Source organism: Homo sapiens, chromosome 4, assembly GCF_000001405.40.
Source record: "Homo sapiens chromosome 4, GRCh38.p14 Primary Assembly".
NCBI classification, from domain to species: Eukaryota; Metazoa; Chordata; class Mammalia; order Primates; family Hominidae; genus Homo; species Homo sapiens.
Window position 1 is genome coordinate 150,062,968 of NC_000004.12, and position 22,589 is coordinate 150,085,556.

General features: G+C 40.8%; 1 protein-coding gene across 13 annotated transcripts in view; it reads left to right on the forward strand.

Moving 5' to 3' along the window:
- Positions 1-15,477: 15,477 nt before the first annotated feature.
- Positions 15,478-22,589, forward strand: part of DCLK2 (doublecortin like kinase 2) — a 178,994-nt gene continuing 171,882 nt past the window's right edge. For all 13 annotated transcript variants that reach the window (XR_007096380.1, NR_036614.2, XM_017007832.3 and 10 more), the window contains exon 1: positions 15,478-16,481. Coding sequence is in view for 11 of the 13 variants with exons in the window: in XM_017007832.3 (XP_016863321.1) it covers positions 16,061-16,481 (421 nt within the window). In the remaining 2 variants the exon portion in view is untranslated. The remainder of the gene's footprint in view (positions 16,482-22,589) is intronic.

Here is a 22,589-nt window from a genome sequence, read left to right on the forward strand (position 1 = left end):
AGATAAAGGAATGAATCAATGAATAAATGCGTTGTGGGCAACATAAAAATGAGCCATAATTGCTTGTATCTTTTATGCTTTTTAAAAAATATATTCTTAAATGATGCAGTGATGGTTGGTTGTTCACTCCTTTCAAATACAAACTGTAATATTCTTGACTTTCCCATTTTCCTTCTTAATCTAAGGAACTTTTAGAAAACTCAGCAAGTAAAATAATTTTTTTTAAATGGAAGGAAGCTAGATTTTTCTCCTTCCTCTTGTTGGACAATGAATTTCCCTTTTGAACTTTTGTGGTTGTTGCTAAATGTTTCCTCCAAGGAGAAATCTTCCTATTTTGTTTATTTTTAGAAACTGAAGCCTCCATACAGAGAAAGCTCTTGAAAACTGGAATCTTAAAAGGGAAGTGCTAAGCAGTGTCTCTTTTTTTAAGCCCAGAATAGCAGCAACTTTGAATAGGTTATAAAATAATAGCCCTGTAATGGATCAACCTGATTCTCTTTGTTCTGACCAACAGATTATACAGCATTTTTCAAGACTACATTTCACTTTCTTTCCCTATGGCAGATAGACAACCAAATTCATTTACTCTTAACAAAACATTATCTACATGTTTTCCTTGCTTAAACTGGAACTAATTAGGATTGGTATTAAGTTATAGAAATTGTTATTACAGAATATTAGAACCAAAAGTAGTTTGAAGGGTCTTACCTTTTTACTCTCTTGTTTTTAGGTGAAAATACTGAGACACAGTGAGGTTGAGTATTATTCTGCATACTCAGCCTCCACCCCTTCTCTTGGTGACATTCTTTCACGTGTATTTGTTTGCCTGGTAAATATCTAGCATGTATGACACACAAAGCACCATGAGAGACCTTGTATGTAAGCAAGGTTTTACACATTCCCCAAAGACGGCCTTTAATAAGGCTGTATGTAAGTCCAACCACATAGGACTATAATCTACTTCACAAAATGACAAGCATCTTCATGATCGCTCATTCCTTATCTGGGATTTCCTCTACCAGGTACTCAACTCTTCTCCCTCTTCATGTTAAAATCTATCCATTTTTCAAAGCCCAACTCAACTGTTATTCCATTAAGACTTTCTCAAGCCCTCAACCATAATTAATGACTACCTTTTCTGAATTTCCACAGGATTTTCTTCAGTTGCCTATTATGGTATGTATCTGGTGGGGTAGATATTATGTAGTTGGATACATATCTACTTTTTCTTCTGGTTTCAGCAACATGGTAGACTAAGCTACTATGAAAACTATAAGTCCTTAGGAGCACTGGGTTTAAAATAGCCAAAAAAAAAAAAAAGTTAATTTTTAGCTGATCTGTCCAGAAGAAACAGGAGTCCCCAAGGGCCAGACGGCCAGAAACACGGAGGGAATTAAAAGCCAGACTGATAAATATAAGAAGTGAGACTGCGACAACCTTGGGAGGTGAATGGAAGCAGCAGTATTGATTTGGTAACAACTAGGGTTTTAATGCCATCAGGTCCAGAAGGCCTCTTATCCTCACCTGAGCAGAGGCCAGGAACTGAGATGTCTATATAAAGCTAGGCCCCTCAAAAGCTTTAATCCCTGCCAAAGAGTACTAAAAATCTCAGCCAACAAGATCAAGCAGATGACAATTAAATCTGTTTGGGGGAAAAATAAGTCTTTTGTGAGAAAAAATATTCCAAGCCTGTTGCTTTCTTTGGTGTATAGTCTGAATTTACTTGTTTCTGAAAGAAATCTCATGCCTAGAAATTATCATGGTCCTGGGTCAGTGGTGCCTCTGGGACACTGAAGGATATCAATGCCAAATTTCATCACCTATGCAGCATGAGATGAGCAGAGACAAAAATAAGCCTGACTAAAGGGGAGCTCAAAATAAAAATTCACAAAGAATACTTAACAGAGACTCAGGTAACTCATTCCATCTCAAAACTTGATATATAGGAAAGCAATCTAAAGGACCATGATTAAAGTATGTGTTTTAGATTTTTGAAATATAAAAGGCATTAAAAAAAAGGCAAGTCACTGTGAAAAAAAGATAAAAATTTAAAAGAAATAATTCAAACTTCTGGAAATGAATAGCCATTTAAATTTACCATGGGTAAATTGGTTAAGCAGCATATTAGAGTAAGCTGAAGAAGGAATTAGTAAACTTGAAGACTGATTTGAAAGATAAAGTTCTATTTATCTATAGCTGAGTAAGACAGAGATAGATATGTAGAACATAAGAAAAGACATGGGGAATAGATTGAAAGGTCCAACTTATATCTAACAGGAATTCCAGAAGGAGAGAAGAGGCAGGGTATAGGAAACAAAATATTTGGAGAGAATGGGAGATTGATACAAAGTATTGATAAAAGATGTATTTTACTCTTTTACTAAATACTTGGTTGCCTTGAAGCACAAAGCAATTATTCATATTTGTATTCTTAGAACATTGTTAGAGCTCATTAAATATTGATTTAATTAATATAATTTGTGTTTAAATATCAATAAAGGACAAATATTAATACACAAGATGTGACAGCTATCATTAGAGAAGTAGAAAGTACTCTCTGATGAAGAATTTATAGGGAAAGATTACTTCGAGCTGGGATTATTATAGAAAAATTCATGGACGAGATAAATAAGTATAATCTGACAAATAGAAAGAAGGGCTGGGCATTCCAAGTAAACAAAATAACCTAACAAAGGCACAGGGTGGAAAAATGCAAAAGACATTTGAGGAAAAGCAAGTGTAGTTCATTCTGGTTAACATGTATATACAAGGATTAATTGCAGAAGATTAAGAAAATTAGAACCATATTATGCAGGCGTTGAATGTCAGACTAAATATTTTGGACTATTAGATGAAGAAAAGACATCTCAGGTAACTCATTGCTGGCAGCTTTTTTAACAAAGGGGTAACAAGATCGGAACTGTCATTATGAAGAATGATTCGCCCCACAATTATGTACAAAATGAACTAGAGAGGAAAGACACGGGGGAAAATCAATTGATTTGTGTGTCACAAAGGATTCTTGATGATGACAAAAATGCAACTCAACCTGGCTTGAGCAAGTAAGAGTTTTGTTAGATTGTAAACAAAACCTCCAGGGTAGATCCGGTCAGGTATGTCCTTATACAGTGTTATATACTCAATAATTTGGTGGCCCTTTATCCCTGGCTCGTGGGAGGTAACCTTCAAATCCATGGAATTTACCGAGTAATAGGAGTGTTTTTGTTATTCATGGTGGTCTCTTAGGTAGTCCAGACTAAGGAGGTAATTCATGATGGGAGCTGACCATGCCAGAAAGACCACCTTGTGATTAGAGGGTTGGGGATTTGAGCCATATGATATCAGCCTAACCTCCAGAGAAAGAAGATGGGCTGAAGGTCAAGTTCAATTATATGGCAAATAATTCAATCTAGCATGCTTATATAATGAAACCTTAATTAAAACTTGGGACAATGAAGCTTGAATAAGCTTCCCTGTTTAATGATATTTTGTGCATATGCTACACATAAAGGTGCTGGAAGGGTGATGCATCCTAACTCTGCAGGGAGAGGACATAAAAGCCAGAGACCCTTCCAGATCTCACCCTATGCACCTATTCTTTTGGCTGGTCCTTGTTTGTATCTTTTTTGGTATAATAAACCTGTAATCATGGCTATACCGCTTTCCAGAATTGCATAGGTCATTCTACTAGATTATCAAGCCTTAAGAGATGGTGTAAACTCCTGAATTGTAGCTGGTGGGTCAGAAGTGTAGATGGCTGGGGAACCTCTGAGCTTGCTGCTGTTATCTGAAGTGAGGGCAGTCTCATGGAGGACTGTGCCCTCAGCCAGGGAAGCTTGGCCAACCTTCAGGTAGTTTGGGTCAGAAGTTATTGCATCCAGCAATGCAAAACCCTGAGGTGAGATCCTGCTTTGCATGCTTAAGGAACCACATGGAGGTCTGGGTGACTGCAGTGAGTGGTAAAGAGTAATAATATATGAGGCCTGACAGGTAGCCAAGACCAGATCATGCAGGCAGTGGTCCTCAGCTCTGGTTGCATTTTAGAATGACTGGGAAGTTTTTCAAAGAAACCAGTGTCCAGGTCCCATCCAGGTCCATAAAATCAGAGTGGCTTTGTAGTTTTCTAAGTTCTTCAGGGAATTCTCATTGTGGTACAGGCACTGGTTGACCAGTGTATGAAGTAATTAAATTTTGTTCTGAGTATAAGAAGAAGGTGATATAGATGGAACATTTGTCCCTTCCAAATCTCATGTTGAAATTTTATCCCCAGTGTTGAAGGTGGGGCTTAGTGAGAGGTGTTTGGGTCATGGGATTGGATCACTCATGAACAGCTTGATGATGTCCTTGCAGTAAGGAGTGAGTTTTTGCTCCATTAGTTCACACGAGAACTAATTATTAAAAAGAGCCCAGCAACTCCTCTTCTCTCACTGCCTCTTTCTTGCTGTGTGATCTCTCTCTATTCATTGGCTCCCCTTTGCTTTCTGCCATGAATAGAAGCAGTCTGAGGTCCTCCTCAGATGCAGATGCCAGTACCATGCTTCTTGTACAGCCTCAGAACCATGAGATAAATTAGCCTTTGTGAAAAATAAAAATTACCCAGACTCAGATATTCTTTTATAGCAATGCAGATGGACTAAGACAGAAGCCGATGCAGGCTATTGAGCAGAGGAGTAATATTTGCTTTCTTCAAATTTTAAAAGACTCACTTTGGCTACTGTGCCTAGTCAACAACAAGGGTCACTTGAAGCAGTTAGAAAACCATGCCCTATAGCGGAACAGGACCAGAGGTAGGAAGGAGGCCAGGTGCAAGAGGAGGTGGCTTGGAATCGGCCACCTCTGTAAGTAGGTACAAACAGATGGCGGAGGTAAGAGAGAAATGGTTATATCTGGGGTATGTTTTGAAGAAGGACAATTTGCATATGAATTGTATGTGGAGTATGAGAAAAATAAGTCACATATGAATACATGAGTTTTTCATCTAAGCAACAACGTGTAAAAAAAAAAACCCACAAAAAACAAACAAAAAAACAAATACTAATCACTGTTGCCAGGAGAATGCAGTTAACGGGCCAGGATTGAGTCACATGCTCACCCTGCAGCAGGAGGTGAAGTCAGTCTTGCTGAAAACACATGTACTCAAAGGGACAGATGATATTTCACGAGTAAAAATCAGGGCATGCTACCAATAGTCAATCAGGGAATGCTACCAATTGCAAACTTTAGGAACAAAATTTAGCTCTTCCTCTTTCCTTTTCAAAACAACCAATCCTAAAGCCATTAGGTGGGGCCAAGCAAAGTAGGCATCTCTTCCAGTGGCAGAAGGGGGGTAGCCACAGGGTTAGGGGGTTGAGTAGGGCGTTAGACCCTGAGCTGGGGCAAGGGAGGCATTCAGGTCAAGAGGCAGCAGTGGCAGCCAGCAGGGTATGTTGGAGCCTGGGTGAGGTGAGAAGGGCACTGCATAGGAGTGGGACTTCAAGTTGACCTTGAGGGGCATCAGAGCCCAAGAAGGTCAAGGAGGAGTGATGCATGGGAGGCTGCCCAGTGCGGTATCCAAGTACCAGGGGGATGCGGACAGCATCCTGGGGATGCCAGGAGGCAGCCCAACCTGGGGTGTCAGGGTCTGAGTGGGATGTGAGGGAGGTGGCGGTGGGTGTGAACTGACGGCTATCAAGATATATGTGTGTGTATTTACACATACAGATATTCACTATTTCTGTCCACTGCAAGGATCAAGATTTGTAACCCAACAGCAATGAGTATATGTATTGCTCAAATCTTAGTTCCTAAATATTCTCCAATAAAAGAAAGAGAAATGGGAAGTCCAGCACTAAGGCAGTAAAAGTATAACGTGAGTCCAGAGCACACCACCAAAAATAAGGATGTGCTCAAAAATGATGGGGACAACAAAAAAAGCACATAGGAGTCAGCTCAGATCCACTGGTCAAATTGGGAATATTTTGAGTATCAAATAAGTAATTGTAGTAACTGAATAGGATACTGTGAATCCAAACTGAAAAAATAAATGAATATATTGAAAATCTTAGGAAGGGTCGGGTGCAATGGCTAACACTTGTAATCCCAGCACTTTGGGAGACCAATGCAGGCAGATTGCTTGAGCTCAGGAGTTCCAGACCAGCCTGGCCAACATGACGAAACCCCACCTCTACAAAAAATACAACAATTAGCAGGGCGTGGTGGCACGCACCTGTAGTCCCAGTTACTTGGGAGGCTGAGGTGGGAGAATTGCTTGAGCCTGGGAGGCAGAGGCTGCAGTGAGCCAAGATCACGCCACTGCACTCTAGCCTGGGTAACAGAGTGAGGCCCTGCCTCAAAAAAAAAAAAAAAAAAAAAAAAAGAAAGAAAAAAAAAAAGAAAAGAAAAGAAGAGAAAAGAAAAAGAAAGAAAATCTGGAGAAGAATAAGATATTTACATAAGTTTCAAAATGCCTTCCTACAAAGTAGGTACTAACTACAAAGGGAAAAACTGTAGCTTTACAATGAAGAAGCTTGGCAGGGACCACTAAATCAAGTGATCAAAGGGAACATTAATGATGAGACAAACTGAAATTAAGCCACGCCTGATATGATGCAATAAAAAGAACATAGCATCACTTCTGTGATATTTCTGCCAAAATGCATAACTTAAATCTAAATCTGAAGAAAAATCAGACAAACCCCAAATTGAAAAATTCTACAAAATAACTGGCCTGTAACCCTCAAATGTGTCAAGGTCATGAGAGCCTAGGAAAGACTAAGGAAATGTTCTAGGCTAAAGGAGACTAAAGAGACATGACAAGCACAAACCATGATTCTGGACTGGATTCTTTTACTGAAAAGCACATTGTTGAGACGTGGCAAAATTTGAATGGGTTCTCATGATTAGCTGGTGGTAGTTTATGGATGTTAATTTCCTAACTTTAATAGTTATATCATGTTGTGTAGAAGAATGTTCTTATTTATTTAAAAAAATACAATAAATTATTTAGGGTTGGTGAGACATCATGTTGTTGGGAATTTATTCTCAAATGATTCATCAAAAAAATTCTCTGTACTGAACTTGCATCTTTTCTGTCAATGTGAGATTGTTTTAAAAAAAGCAGCAGCAACCTTACTGGTAATTCTATTACAATAAATTTTTCTGTTATTGAATGAAGATACATTTCTTTGTATATCATCTTGGAAAATCTTGCATTGGAACACACACTGAAAGAGATCTGGGGATTGACCACAGTTTCTTCTTGGAGGAATTTAAATTAACTTCAGCAAACAACTTTTTATCACCCCTAACAAAACCCACATTAGGGTAAAACTTTTGCTCCAGGGAAAGTCTTTGACCATACCAGTAATAAGGAAAAGGTGACTAATTTTATCATCCATTCAAACAACACGTCTAACAGCAAAAGTTTAGACACTGTTTGAATTAAGATTTATTAAAATATAAAGCAGTTGTGTGTAGAGACAGATCAGGGCTTCCATACTGCATTTCTCTGCTGGCCTTGCCTCACTTACCATTCCAAGTGACTTTCAGAATTTCCCACTGAATTGTGTGACCAAGCTGGTAAATGACATGAAATGAAGTAGGTAGTTTCAGGACAACTCCAAGAAAAACAACTAGGCTATTAATAGTGGTTTATGGTATCTCCATACTGTTATGGGACCTATCGTTTACATATTCTGGTTGTGCCAGGTCTATTAAAGAAATCTGAGAACGCTGAAGACATTAAGATAGTCCTTTTTAACAAGTAAGAATTTAAAGGAGAATTTCTTGTAATTACTTCAACATAGCCTATTTTCTATGTATTTGCAATTCTATAACCTAAAGGCCAAAACCAATCATTCCATGTCTAAGTGGTAAAGAAGATAAACACCTTGGAACAGATTTTTCTTTCCAGTTAGTAGATGTATAGCAAGTTGGCACGATGACTTTATTTTATTTATTTGTTTTGGTGGGGGTTGGGGAAAACCCTTCCTTCTCCATACCTTCTGAAACTGTTTCCGGGCCTACAGTTCCAGCACTTGCATTGGTCAGAAGAGGGTGTCAGACAGTGTGGGGCACTGACACAGCAATGGGAGCTGAAACAGAGGTCCCTGGAGGACTGACTCATTTTAGAGATTTTTCTTCATGAGGATATTGGCTAAGATTTTGAACCAACTAAGATCCTAGGGGTTCATGGGCTTATCACTAAAGGGAGAATGCCCAAGGAGAAAAATATTATTATTATAGTAATAATAATAAATAATAATTATAATTAATTTTAATACTAAAATGAAATGTAGCTTTATATCATAACCAAGTTATTAAAGATGAACATATCAGTTACATTAAGATAAAAACAATCAGGTAATCACATGCATATATCTCTTTGCCTTAAGTGTTTAATCTCAGATACATATATATATTCACACACACAGTGTTTCTGCTGTATCTTTCATACAAACGGTAAATCATGATCAATTAGTTATTTCAGATAGGGTGATAGGACTCTGGGAAGTACCAATGAAAAACTAAAAAACAAAAAAAAAAACTAAATACATAGCCAAATGAGTACAGATTTGCTAAGGAGTGTTGACTAAAGTCTGAGTAGATCCTTATTCCCATTAATAAGATATATATATTTTAACATTTGACTATTTCAAATATGTGTGTGTAGGGTATACAGAATGTTTGTCCTAAAATAACCAGATAATTTGCAATATAAACTTACTGTAAATTAAAGAATCATTAATTTTAAGCTATAATTCCTGAAGAGACAGACATTCTTGTGATTAATGAATTTTGAAAGCTTGAAGTGAACATTTTCTGGAGTTAGCATACCCTGGAGGCAATTTCTATCTCTGCTGCTTAATCTTTCTTATTTCCTTGTCTATAATCTGTTTCCTTAACTAGGTCATAACAACTTATTAATCATTATAAAATATTTATTATCCTTTAAGTACTCTTGACCATCATTGTTTTAATCTGATATGTAGAATGACATGAACATAGTTTGTCACATTCAGTATTTGTATAAACATTGAAGGTACTACCGAGAGGAGAAAACCACTAAAATCATGATCAATTTTAACAAAAATAATTTTTTAAAATTTTAAATGAAGCAAAAAACCTAGATTTAAAGATTAAATTTTATATTGGGTTTGGGAAATTTCATCCTACAGAAACAAAATGAGAGTACTGTGGTACTTTTCATGATCTTTCACTTTTATGCCTAGATTTCCTCATCTGGAAAGTATGAATTCTACTAGTTGCCCAGATTTTCTTCTTACGAAGATTTAAGAGGAACAAATTCAAATTCCTAAGAAAAAAGTTGCTATATGATTTTAAAGTTGTTATTTTTCATCAATAATTGTTGCATCTGAACTGGCAAATGACAAAATAAAAATATAATTTTGAATATATAAAATTTACATGACATATAAATTTACATTATATGTATGGAGTCTTTGTCCTAGACACTTTATGGAAGTTTACCATAGAAAGAATCAGAATTTTCTCATGGAAAAAAACAGTAGTTGTGTGCCATATATATTTAAAGCATGCATATTTGATTATTTTCTTCAATTCTTCTGATATTTTCATTTAAAAATTAAACTTACAATTTTTTTTTTCAAGAACAGAGTCTCATCCCTCTGTCACCCAGGCTGCAGTGCAGCTGCACAATCACAGCTTGCTGCAGCCTTGACCTCCTGAGCTTATGCAATTCTCCCACCTCACCCTCTGCAGTAGCTGGGACTATAGGCACGCACCACTGCGCCGGGCTAATTTTTTTTTTTTTAATATTTTGTAGAGATGGGAATCTTCCTATGTTGCCCAGGTTGGTCTTGAACTCCTGGGCCCAAGTGATCCTCCCGCCTCAGCCTCCCAAAGTGTTGGGGCTACAGGCATGAGCCACAAGCCAAAATTTAGATTTTCTGAAAGACTTAACCAAACAGGTACATTCAAATTTTTTGAACCTGAAAAGGTAGTTTCAATTATTCCCTCACTTATTTGTGAAGAAATCATTAATATCTATGTAAAGTGCTACAAGAATCAGGGGTGAAAAGGACAACGAAGCTCCAAAGGCAGAAGAACTATTGAGAAAACAGTTTGAGCCTTTTTTCCAGTCTAGGTACAGATTATGGGGTAGAGATGGAGAGTCTGCTTTTGAGCTGCCTTACCTTATACCCTTCCCCATTAAAGCTTAACAGAAAGCACTAGAACTTATAATTATTAAGATTGAAATGAGAATCATGCTTAGTTTCAAAAATTTAAGTCTATAGTCACCGGGTGCTCTCACTTAAAATAGTTTAGTTATTTCATCATTTTTTACTTCTGGGAGAAATTCTTGGCACATAGTGAACAGGAATGAAAACATGAGACAGCAAAAAGTCTCAGCACAGTGCAATCTGAAAGGTTCAGAGGCATCCTTTATGTAATAAGTAATGGAGTCACTGGAAAACTGCCTTTAAAAACAGAAGTCTCTTGCCAAAAGTGAAGACTAACCATAGCATTTGAGGAATAAAGCAGCATGAGGCAAACACCAGGAAATGTTCAAGGCAAGTTTCTTATGTAAAGACCCATAATGAAATATTTAATAAAGTCTCATTTAAACAAATTATGCTAGATAAAAATTTGCATTGTATTTCTTAGTCAAGGTGGAGTGGGGTTGAGGGAGTAAGCAGGAGAGGGAATTACTACCTGGCTAAAAGCAGCTCTAAAATTGTATCACAGGTGTGTGATACAAAGAGAAGTGTAGAGAACAAAGAGAACAATTTCTTTTCCTTTATGCCCAGTTGAGTTTCTCTGCCCCAAGTGGTTTGTAGAAGACCCTTCTTGCATACTGCCAACAAAATTTTCACATCCACTAGATATTCCATGATTTATAAGTATTATAAATAAAAAGCAAAAGGGGTCATTTCTAGTTACACAAAAAGGGGAGAAGAGTTTTTGGGCTGAAATTCTCCAATGGCCTTTAGCAGAAAAATGAAGCCTTTTTAAAAATACTTGGCACAAAAGTTTTTATTCAAGTAAGTGTTAGGTTAAGGGGAGTTAAAAAGAGGGTTTTTCTAACAACACTTTTTACAACCAAGAGACATCTAAGGTTAAAGTGGGCTTCCAGATAGTGAGGAGGCATCTGTGGCCAGCTCTTCCTAAAGAAGCTCCTTAAATCAGGGTGTGGCAGACAGAGTTGGTGGATCTTGTAACCACCAAGAGAATTAGACCATCTCTGGAAGGACCAATGATTAATAATCAGATGGCCTTTCTTCGTTAGAAAAAAATGAGTATCTCAACAAAGAAAATGCCCATTAAAATGTCTTACTCTGCAAATTCTGCAACTGCATGAAAGGAAAAAAATCTGCTTCGGTTCTATAAATTGAATATCATGAAGTAAGCCAAGTTAAGTAATAGTTGCCTACCTAGAACCTACAAATTTTGTTTGCATTAGAATTTGAATACTGAAACTAATTTTTTCCTACCTCAACAAATCTTCAAATGTTGACCAACTGGGTCTTTATATCATATTTTTTCATAGATACCTTATGAAAAGTGATTGCATCTCAATTCTTATAAGAGGATCACAAATAAGATTCTTCAAGAAAACAAGTGTGGAGAGTAGGATCAAAAAAACATTTTTTAACTAAGTAACAGCTTTGGAAATACTTTCTCTTTTCCCCCTACCCCTGTTGAAAAGCAGTAACCTTTCTTTAACTTAAGGATATAATGTTAGGGAATAATGTTAAAATACTGGCATATTTTTATTTTTTTAAATTTTACTTTAAATTCCAGGATACATGTGCAGAATGTGCAAAGGTATACATGTATACGTGTTCCAAGGTGGTTTGCTGTACTTATTGACCTGTCCTCTAAGTTCCCTCCCCTTGTACCCCACCCTCCAACAGGCCTTGGTGTGTGTTGTTCCCCTCCCTGTGTCCATGTGTTCTCATTGTTCAACTTCTACTTATGAGTGAGAACATGGGGCATTTGGTTTTCTGTCCCTGTGTTAGTTTGCTGAGGATGATGGCTTCCAGTTTCATCCATATCCCTGCAAAGGACATGATCTTATTCTTTTTTATGGCTGCATAGTATTCCATGGCGTGCATGTGCCACATTTTCTTTATGCAGTCTATCACTGATGGGCATTTGGGTTGGTTCCATGACTTTGCTATTGTAAACAGTGCTGCAGTAAACATACGTGTGTGTGTGTGTCTTTATAGCAGAATGATTCATATTCCTTTGGGTATATACCCAGTAATGGGGTTGCTGGGTCAAATAGTATTTCTGGTTCTAGATCCTTAAGGAATTGCCATATTGTCTTCCACAATGGTTGAACTAATTTACATTCCCACCAACAGTGTAAAAGTGTTCCTATTTCTCCACAGCCTCGCCAGCATCTACTGTTTCTTGACTTTTTAATAATTACCATTTTGACTGCCATGAAATGATATCTCATTGAGGTTTTGATTTGCATTTCTCTGATGATCAGCGATGTTGAGCTTTTTTTCATATGTCTGTTAGCTATGTAAATGTCTTCTTTTGAAAAATGTCTGTTTATATCCTTTGCCCACTTTTTGATGGGGTTGTTTCTTTCCTTGTAAATTTGTTTAAGTTCCTTGTAAATTCTGGATATTAGACCTTTGTCTGATGGGTAGACTGCAAAAATTTTCTCCCATTCTGTAGGTTGACTGTTTACTTTGGTGATAGTTTCTTTTGCTGTGCAGAAGCTCTTTATTTCCATTTGTCAATTTTGGCGTTTGTCGCAATTGCTTTTGGTGTTTTCACCATGAAGTCCTCACTCATCCCTATGTCCTGAATGATATTGCCTAGGTTTTCTTCTAGGGTTTTTATGGTTTGGGGTTTTACATTTAAGTCTTTAATCCACCTTGAGTTAAAAATACTGGCATATTGTATAATTGTACTCACTATTTAAGAAGGGCCAAATCTCTTATCAAGGATCTTTGAGTGAGGAAGTGCATGTTAGTGTTCTAAAGATTGAAAGATTGAAACCCGTGGTACCAGTCTGCAAGATGACCCCAATAATTGCTGACTCCTAGTCACACCCTAGTGTAGTCTCCTCCCACATCAAACAGGGCTGCCTTGTGTAACCTACAGGATATTGTGGGAATAACAGTGTATGACTTCCAAGGCTATATCATAACACACATTGTGGCTTCCACCTTGTGCTCTCTTGGATGCTTTCTCTAGAGCAAGCTTGTCCAACCCATGGCCTGTGGACTGTACACAGCCCAGGACAGTTATGAATGCAGCCCAATGCAAATTCGTAAACTTTCTTAAAATATTATGAGATTTTGTGATTTTTTTTTTTTTTTTAGCTCATCAGCCATCATTAATGTTAGTGTATTTCCTGTGTGGCCCAAGACAATTCTTCTTCCAATGTGCCCCAGGGAAGCCAAAAGATTGGACACCCCTGCTCTAGAGGAAGCCAACCGACAAGTCATGGTGACACTTAAGCAACTCTATGGAAAGGTACTCATGACAAGGAACTGAGGCCTCCTTACCATTCATGTGAATGGGCTGTCTTGGAAATGGATCTTCTTGACCCAGTCAAGCCTTTAGATGGCTGTGACCCCTGTCAACATCTTGACAGCAATCACATGAGGCTTTGAGGTAAACTGCTCCCAGATTTCCGATCTGCCAAAAATGCTGAGATTATGCATGTTTATTGTTGTAAATCATTAAGTTTAGGATAATTTGTTTCTACAGCAATAGTTTACAAAGTCTTTTTCCCCCTAAGAAATACTAACAGTGATACAAATGAACATGGCCATCTTAAGGCAAGTTGATGGGCTCTGTGGAGTTACTGGTACTTAGATGGAAACTTATCTCAATAAATTTGCAATTTAGTTTCTTGTTTCTCAAAGTCTTGTACCAAGACCAGCAGCATTGGCATTACCCAGGGGCTCATCAGAAATGCAGAATCTCAAACTCCACCCCAGAGCTACAGAATAGCAATCTGCATTTTAACGAGATTCCCCTATGACATGTAAATATATTAAAGTTTGAGAAGAAGCACTGATTTATTTGATTCCTGGTGTTACAGCCTGTGGTTGGAAACTCTGGATATACCTTAGGGGTACTTTTAAAAAAATACTGTTGGAGAAGCCCGTCTCCAGAAATTCTGATTTAACTGATCTAGGTTGAGGCCTTTTAAGGTGGTGGACCTAATGATGCTGCAGGATTTTCCTCTAGAAAAACTACATTGAAGCCTCAGATCAGCTCTGACTTCCTAGCATGCCCCAACCCCGCAGGAAGTTAGGTATGCCCAGGTGTATGCCCAGAACTGCCTTAGGAGTAGTATTGTGCACCGAGCAGGAGACCTTTCTGGAGCTGCCATGAAGGGTGTGTATGCGTGTGTGTGCGTGTGTTTGGTGGGGCGCACCAACTTCACAGATGCTAGACCGTTGCATGTGCTTCTACCTTCTTTTATTCATGCTCTTCCAGGACTCAGTTCAACCCGAAAAAAAGCAACTATGCCTTTCTTCCTGAAAGGTCAGTTTGGATTGCTGTCTAGGGCTGCTCAGAAAACCAGGTGTTGAATGTTCTAAGGTTTCACGTGCCAAATTGGGATCAAACATATTTGAGCTTTATTTTTCCTAATAACAAAATGCAAGTAACTAGTATTTCTCTTAAGTCTTGGAAAAGATGTTTTTATTGTTGAATAGACACTACGGCATTAAGATTTCCACTATGATGGGTGCTCACAAATGATAGGCCTCTTAGGTAAGAAGCTTTAATTGACAACATTAAATATGCGGGGCGGGGGGAGTGGGTGCAGAGTCTCTCTTTCCTTTGTTAGGGCATCCCAGTGACAGAAACAATGCCTGACACATGGTACGCTCTCGATAAATATTCGTTGATTACATAACCCCCTCTACCACCCAATAACTTCTCATCATTCATTCAAAGTTACTGAACGTACCATATTAGCGAATCTGCAATGGAAACAGTGGAGGCTGTTTTCTCAAAGGATTTTCTAATAAAGCAACAAATCTTTTTTAAAAAAAATGAATGGTGTGCCCCAAGTCAATGCTGGGCTTCGGATTTCTGCGGTAGTTTGGCCTGGGGTCCTCACTGGGATGCTGGCTGGGGATGTGCTCCCTGCCCTTGAATCTCCTTCCTTTGTAGTTTTTGGCCTGCGCGGTTACGTTTCCCAGGCGGAGGAGCGCGCGTCGCGGCTGCGCCCATTAACGCGCGGCGCCGGGCAGGAGCCGTCAGGCGGGCGGGGCTGCCCGGGACCCGCAGGAGCTGCTCCTCCCGCGCCGGCGCTCGGCCCCCTCCTCCGCCCCCTCCTCCGCCCCCTCCTCCCCTTCTCCGCGGTTTGGCATCCCCGGGGCCGGGAAGCCTCCTCCAGCGCTGACAGCCTGTCGGCGGCGGAGGGAGGCCAGAGCGCGGATGCTTGCCAGTGGGCCGGGCCTGACCGCTGCGTGGGAGGCGGGCTGCATTATTTCCCGCTAGGGCCGCGCTCCAGGGAAGGAAGGGGCCAGACACGGCCCTCTCAGCCCCGAACGGCGCGCGCTGCCCGGCGGGCGGGATCCGGGCGCGGCCGAGGCGGCGGCGCTGCACCCCGGGCCTGGGCCCGCGCGACTCCCCCGGGGGCCTCTCCCACGCTCCGCGCCCCGCCCCACCCTTCCTTCCTTCCTCCCCTCGGCGCTCCCGGGAGCGCTCGGCAGACGCCCGAGCTTTGTGGGCGCCCGCGGGCCCAGCGCGAGCCTCGGGCGGCCCAACTTTGCCTCTCCCGGTCGGCTCCCGAGCGGGACTTGTGAGGCGTGGCCGGGTGGAGGAGGCGCTTGCGGGGGCGTGGGGCTCCCCGGCAGGCGGGAGGCACGGAGCAAGTCGCACTGGACAATGACCTGGGCAGCTCGGCGCTGCGGACACTTTTAGCTGAGGGCGCGGGCGGGTCGGCTCCTCCGCGGCTCCTCGGCCCCACCTGCGCGGAGAGGGCGGGATGCCAGAGCCAGGTGTCCCGGCGCGTTAAGGGCCCTCGCAGTCAGACGTCCCTGCACCGGCGCTCGCACCCTTAGTCGGCCCGGAACGTCTTTTTGCGGACGCCCTCGGAGCAGCCGCGATGGCCAGCACCAGGAGTATCGAGCTGGAGCACTTTGAGGAACGGGACAAAAGGCCGCGGCCGGGGTCGCGGAGAGGGGCCCCCAGCTCCTCCGGGGGCAGCAGCAGCTCGGGCCCCAAGGGGAACGGGCTCATCCCCAGTCCGGCGCACAGTGCCCACTGCAGCTTCTACCGCACGCGGACCCTGCAGGCCCTCAGCTCGGAGAAGAAGGCCAAGAAGGCGCGCTTCTACCGGAACGGGGACCGCTACTTCAAGGGCCTGGTGTTTGCCATCTCCAGCGACCGCTTCCGGTCCTTCGATGCGCTCCTCATAGAGCTCACCCGCTCCCTGTCGGACAACGTGAACCTGCCCCAGGGTGTCCGCACTATCTACACCATCGACGGCAGCCGGAAGGTCACCAGCCTGGACGAGCTGCTGGAAGGTAGGAGGGGAGGGCGCCGCACGGCAGGTGCGGCGGAGCGCCGGCAGGTGCAGTGGGCGTGAGCCGGCGCAGCGGGGAGCCCGCGGGGTGCTTTCCAAGCCGCACGGGAATTGATGCTTCTGTCTGCTTCTCTAGAGATTGGCTGGGGGTGGGGGCCGGTGGGGTGCCCACATACACACTGACTTTCCTTCCCAAGAGGTTTGTCTCTTAAAGAAGGAAAAAATTTCCTGATGGTCAGGCCAATTTAGGCACTGGTGGCATCTCCTAAGATTGTTGAACTTATTTGTATTGAAGTGCAAACTGTTTGAGAAAATGGTTCTCCCATGGGGAGCTGGGTAATCCCCTACTAATAAGCTCTGTTGGACCCTCGGTGTGGACCCTGGTGCAGGCTCCTGTCATGTTCCAGTATTCGGGGTCCTGTTGTGACTGCTGTCAGAAGCTGTGGTTGTGAAATGCTCTAGGTTGGCTTTCCTAGTTTGCCTTGCAGCAGAAGTTACTTGAGGTGAAGAGGGATGATCCTAGACAGCAGGTCTCAACCTTGGCTTCATCTTGGATCACACTGGGGACTTCGAAAAATATGGGACCCTGATCCCCCAACCCCCAGATATCCTGATTAAATTGGTTGGGTTTGGGGTGTGGGTTAGGCGTCTGGAGTCTCAAAAGCCCCCCCCCCAGGTGATTCTAATGTGGGACCCTGGTTAACAATCACCGTGCTAAAGGGTTTTCCACATTTGGTTGGAAAAAAGGTAAATCAAGGTCAATCTCTCCAGCCTTATCCTCTAATAAGAGTACCTAATTAGAATGATAGAGGCCATTGGATTCAGCAGTGGGGACTTATTAAAAATTAGTAATTCTGCTGTGTCAACCATGCCTCGGTCAAAGAGACTGCTTGGCTGGATGTTGGGTCATCCTTGAATTCCTGCAATACGTATGCCTCATCCTTTTCAGGTAGAAAAGGCATTATCAGTGGTTAAGAACCTGTTTCCAGTTCTAAATAACATCCAGAAAGACCAGGCAGAACCCAGGTATGTGCTGACTGCGTGTTTACATACAGTCCGCTCTTGTGCATCTTTCTTAATGCAAATGGCACATTCCATGTAGTCATAGCAATAGCTTGGCAGGGAGAGGAAGCTGAACATCAAGCCAGATGTTTTTCTTATATTATCTCAGCATGCTTTTCTGTCCTGAAGGCATTATCCCCATTTTATAGATGAGGAAACTTAGGCAGCATGCCTTGCCTCACAGTGCCTGCAGCATATACTTTCTCGTCTACGATTCACCTCTGCTGAGCTAATGGAGCCACATGGAGGAAAACTAAAGGTCGTTGAGTTTGTCTATTTAGTCAGAAGTTTTTGCTGCCCTGCCTAGAACGCGACCCAGCCAAAATTAAATTGTCTCTTCAGTCTACATATGTATGTGCTTGTGACTTCACCCATTCTGTCAGTTGTGTGTTTTGGTTTTAAGGGCTTCTTGAGGAGGTAAGGGGATAGCTGGAGGAGTATAAGTAAAAAAGGAAGATACAATGTTCAAAGGGCCTTGTTGCTTTTCTTAATCATGTTAAACACTTAAAAGCAATATTTGCCTAGCTATTTTAAAACAGAGTAACCAGTTGTTTGACTGACCCAAGATCAGATTTGCAGGATCAAGGCAATGCCTGTTTGCTTAAGCACTTGTTACTCAACATGCCATTGGGATACTACTGTTCCTGGTATGGTTTCTTAAGAGTCAACAATGTTAATATCCTTCTCTAAAGAAATTTTAACAGTGGATTTACTACATAAAATTGACATAACGTAAACATGAATCTCATAGGAGAGATGATAAGATGGACATTATGCATGTCCATTAATAGGAGTACTTAGTATAGATTGCGTCTTTTACCGCCCACCGCATGCATGTCCACTGGGTCTACTTCTGCAACTGTAGTTTCAACTACAAATTGACTTAACAAATTTCCTTCAAATCATTCACTGATTTTTAGTGGATGGGGATTTGGAAAAAACATTATCTATGGAGTCCAAATCATACCAAAATATGATAAATAATATAACAAATAGTTGCACAGCCAAAATTTTTTTTATGACTTTGCCCACTTCTTTGAAGAAGTTTTTAATACAATAAAATTACTGCAAAAGAAGAAAACTTGGACACTTTTTTTGTCATATGGAACTCTCTCTGACAATGGGTCTTTGTTTAATTCTTCAGTTTTCCCCCAAATTAGTAGAATACTCCATAGCAATGCAATTTTTTTTTTAAAGAAAATATAGGTACAATAGTTCACGTCTGTAATCTCAGCACTTTGGGAGACTGAGGTGGGTGGATCACCTGAGGTCAGGAGTTCGAGACCAGCCTGACAAACAAGGTGAAACCCCATCTCTACTTAAAAAAAAAAAAAAAAAATTAGCCGGGTGTGGCGGCAGGCGCCTGCAGTCCCAGCTACTCAGGAGGCTGAGACAGGAGAATTGCTTGAACCCAGGAGGCGGAGGTTGCAGTGAGCCAAGATCACACCACTGCACTCCAGCCTGGGCGATGGAGCAAGACTCTGTCTCAAAAAAAAAAAAAAAAAGAAAAGAAAAAAAGAAAAAGAATCACGAATGCTTACTGTCAATCATTCCAGAATGTAAGTAGTTTCAACTTTTAATTAAAATTGTGTGCTCAGATTTTTCATGTAGGAGAACTAAGCAGCTATCTGTGAAGTTATTTGCATTAGTAAAAATAAGTCTGTAATATATTCACCACATTGTCAAAATTGACTGCTTTATTTCGTTTTGGTTGATTATTTTTAATAAAGCTCTCTCAGGTAGTATTTTACAACATTATGTTCAACTAGGCTCTACTTCTTCGATCCCATGAAACTTGTAGTTTAAGAGGTATGTTTTTTTCTGAAATGTCTTGAGTGAAGAATAGAAAGTGATGACTCAAAACAGTAGGATATGAACATTCATTCAGAGCCCCAATCTCATTGAACTCAGATGACAAAAGAAATTTGCATGGCCCAAATTATTTTTTCTTCTGCCCTTGACCTTGAGAGTCTCTGGAGACTAAAAGCTGTTCTAGTGTGAGCTGGCACTCCTCCAGCACTACACTAAACCAGCAAGCACCTTCAATTTATTGATTTATCCATCCTTGCTGGATTAAGTTTGAGTTGATGCTGTGCAGTCCTGTAATCCTGTTTATTCTTTAAAACTAGTTGGGGGACCTCTTCCGGCAGGACTGTGGCTCTTAATCAATATTGGAAAAATTAGTTGAGCTGTCTTAAGCTGTGAGCCTGCTGAGCTCAGTATCTGTAATAACCAACAGAGAATGTCCAGATGACTTGTTCTTTAGCTTTCTTATTAGGGACTGATTCAGAATTCCTAGTCTTAGTTCTGTTCCGTGTGTCTTCTCTCCTTCTGAGCGTTTGGTCTTCTCTCCTTCTGAGCATTTTGAAATATTTATAAAGTTTTGATGACCTAAAGAGATATAACCAAGGACAGTAGAAAAAGTGCCTGACCAAGTCAGGATTCCTGAGTTCTACTGACTAGATTTGAGAAAAATTTCACCTCACTTCCCTGGCCTTGGCATCCTTTTCTCTAGGATGAGAAGTTGGCAGACCACCTAAGTTAGGTCTCTTCTGGTTTAAAAATGTGTATGTACCCGTTAATTATCTGAGGGGTTATTGTTGGAGCATATGATGGCTTGGGCTGCCATTCCCTAGCCAGAACCCATCTTCCAGAAAATCGATGAGGCTGCACATGTCCAGATAACAATCACAGAATGGGGTGTATATCTCTGATGAAGTGCTTGCCAAGAGTCAAAGGCATTAAGAGCTACCTGTGTCTGCCTCTCTCATTCCAAAATAAAATGTCATTTTGTTATTTCTACCTTTTATCCCTTCATAAACAATAAGCTGATTGTTTTTTGGCATATGAGAGAGTTTTGGTTATTTTGATAATGATACTTTCATTCCCTCATGAAGTTAACAGGGACATGTAAGAAAAATAAGATTGTAAAGAAATCAAGCCCATGAAGTTTGAGGTCCTCCTACCAAACCTATCTACCGCATCTGTTTGGTTAGGTCAGTTCTTTGAAAGTGTTAAATAAACCAAAATACGTTTCTGAGAATTTTTAAGTAAAAATGAATTTCCATAAGAACCTAGATTATACTTAGTTGTTTTTTCCTGAAAAATAAATTTTATAATAATAGAAACTGTGGAACTTATTATGGTAAGAAGGAAATAAACTCATGAGTTACAAGGTATTTGCACATAGGAGTCGAAAATGATGCACACTAAAGTCATGCATGGTGATTGGACTTGGAAAGTTAATATTGAATTTCAGGGCTGCAAAACGTTCTTTACCTGTGAAACCCCTGGATTCTTCAAGGCCCACTTCAAATAGCACCTATGAAGTCTCTTCCCACTTCTCTGGGCAGTTGGTCTCAAATGGTTAGTTGAGGGCATACTATGTCCTAGACATGGTCAAATGCCTATGGTCTCTTCCTTCAAAAAATGCACATTCTCCTGGGAGAGAGACAGTAAACATACAAACAAGATGGCTTCAGCTAAAGTGCTGTAAATGAAGTGGTGATGACATGGGGCAGGATGGCCATATTGGCCGGGGTGATGTGGAGGGCTTCCTAGAGGAACAGACATTGGAGCCGAGGCCTGAGGTCAAGTTTATAACTTTCCTCTGCTTACAGCATTTTTCTTTACTTCTATTATAACACTTAGCTTTGTAGTCTCATGATATATTGGATCTGTTTTTGCACTCAACTGAGAGAAGCCTGAGGTCAGGGATCTTAAATACAGTAAATTCATTGATTAAATAACTCAGACAATGATTTTACCTCTAAGTCCCTTAGTTGTCTAGGGAAGTTTTGTATGAGTTAAGCTTTAATGGGATTCCTAGATATTTGTGAAAATATATGTTTTTGGAAAATTGGATTACATGTTAGATAAACGTATAATTTTGGGTGAAATTCTGTGCTAACCATTTTGGAGGGAATGACTCTTCCATAATATCCCCTTCTATAAATCTGGTTGTCCCATCTCATTTCCTTAAAAACAAGGAAAATAAGATGTGCTATAATACAGCTGCATAAGAAGCTCTTTCCCGAGGTAAGAGGAAAATTTTCATTTAAAGAATAAATCCTAAAAGGTTGGGGAAGGAAAGGGGATATGTGAGAGAGCATTTATGAGATTAGAGTATGACACAGTGATACTCTGGAAGTTATAAGACAAGATTAATATCTAATGGGTTTTTAAACTATGGAAAAGGATATTTTTATGGTCCTGTAATATGAAATAAAGGAAACCAGATTCTCTTGGGCAGTGATCATCTAACTGCTTTCTTCATTGCTCGTGAGGCCGAGAGGAGTTGCTGCGGGGTGTGTACCGCCTGGCTAGGTCTTTTTTCTGTATCCCTTCCTGCCCATGCTACCACTGCATCTGTGTTTTTATGTCTTCTACTCGTAAAGTAAACCATTACCGTAAGGATTAGAGATGCTTTTCTTCTCTGCATTGCTACCATTTACTAGATGTTTTATGAGCAGTCATTGTGTGAGGTACTTTACATATTTCATCTAACCCTTGTAATACCTTCTGAAATATGGCTGCATTGTCATCCCCATTTTACAGATGGGGAAGCTGAGGCTCAGAGATGGTAGAGAAATTGCTGCATTGTACCAATGTAAGAGGTAGAGCTGGCACTTGAGCCCTTTCTCCCTGGCTTCTGAAACTCTGTGTTCTTAACTACTACATTCTACTACTACATTCTACCACCTGAGAGGAAATGGAGTCCATTCTGTTTGTGGGGTCTTTGGGAGGTGTCTTGGTTCATTTTCTCTTGCTATAACAGAATACCACAGACTAGGTAAGTTATAAAGAAAATTTATTTTATTTTCTAGTTCTAGAAGCTAGAAAGTCCAAGGCACGGCACTGGCATCTGTTGAGGGTCATCCCATGGTGGAAGGGTGGAAGGTGAAAGCAAACGTAGGATATATAGAGAGGAAATGGGGCTAAATTCCCTCCTTTTATAACTAACCCACTCCCACAATAACAGCTTTAATCCATTCTTGAGGGTGGTGCCCTCATGATCTAATCACCTCTTCAAGGCCTCACTTGTTAA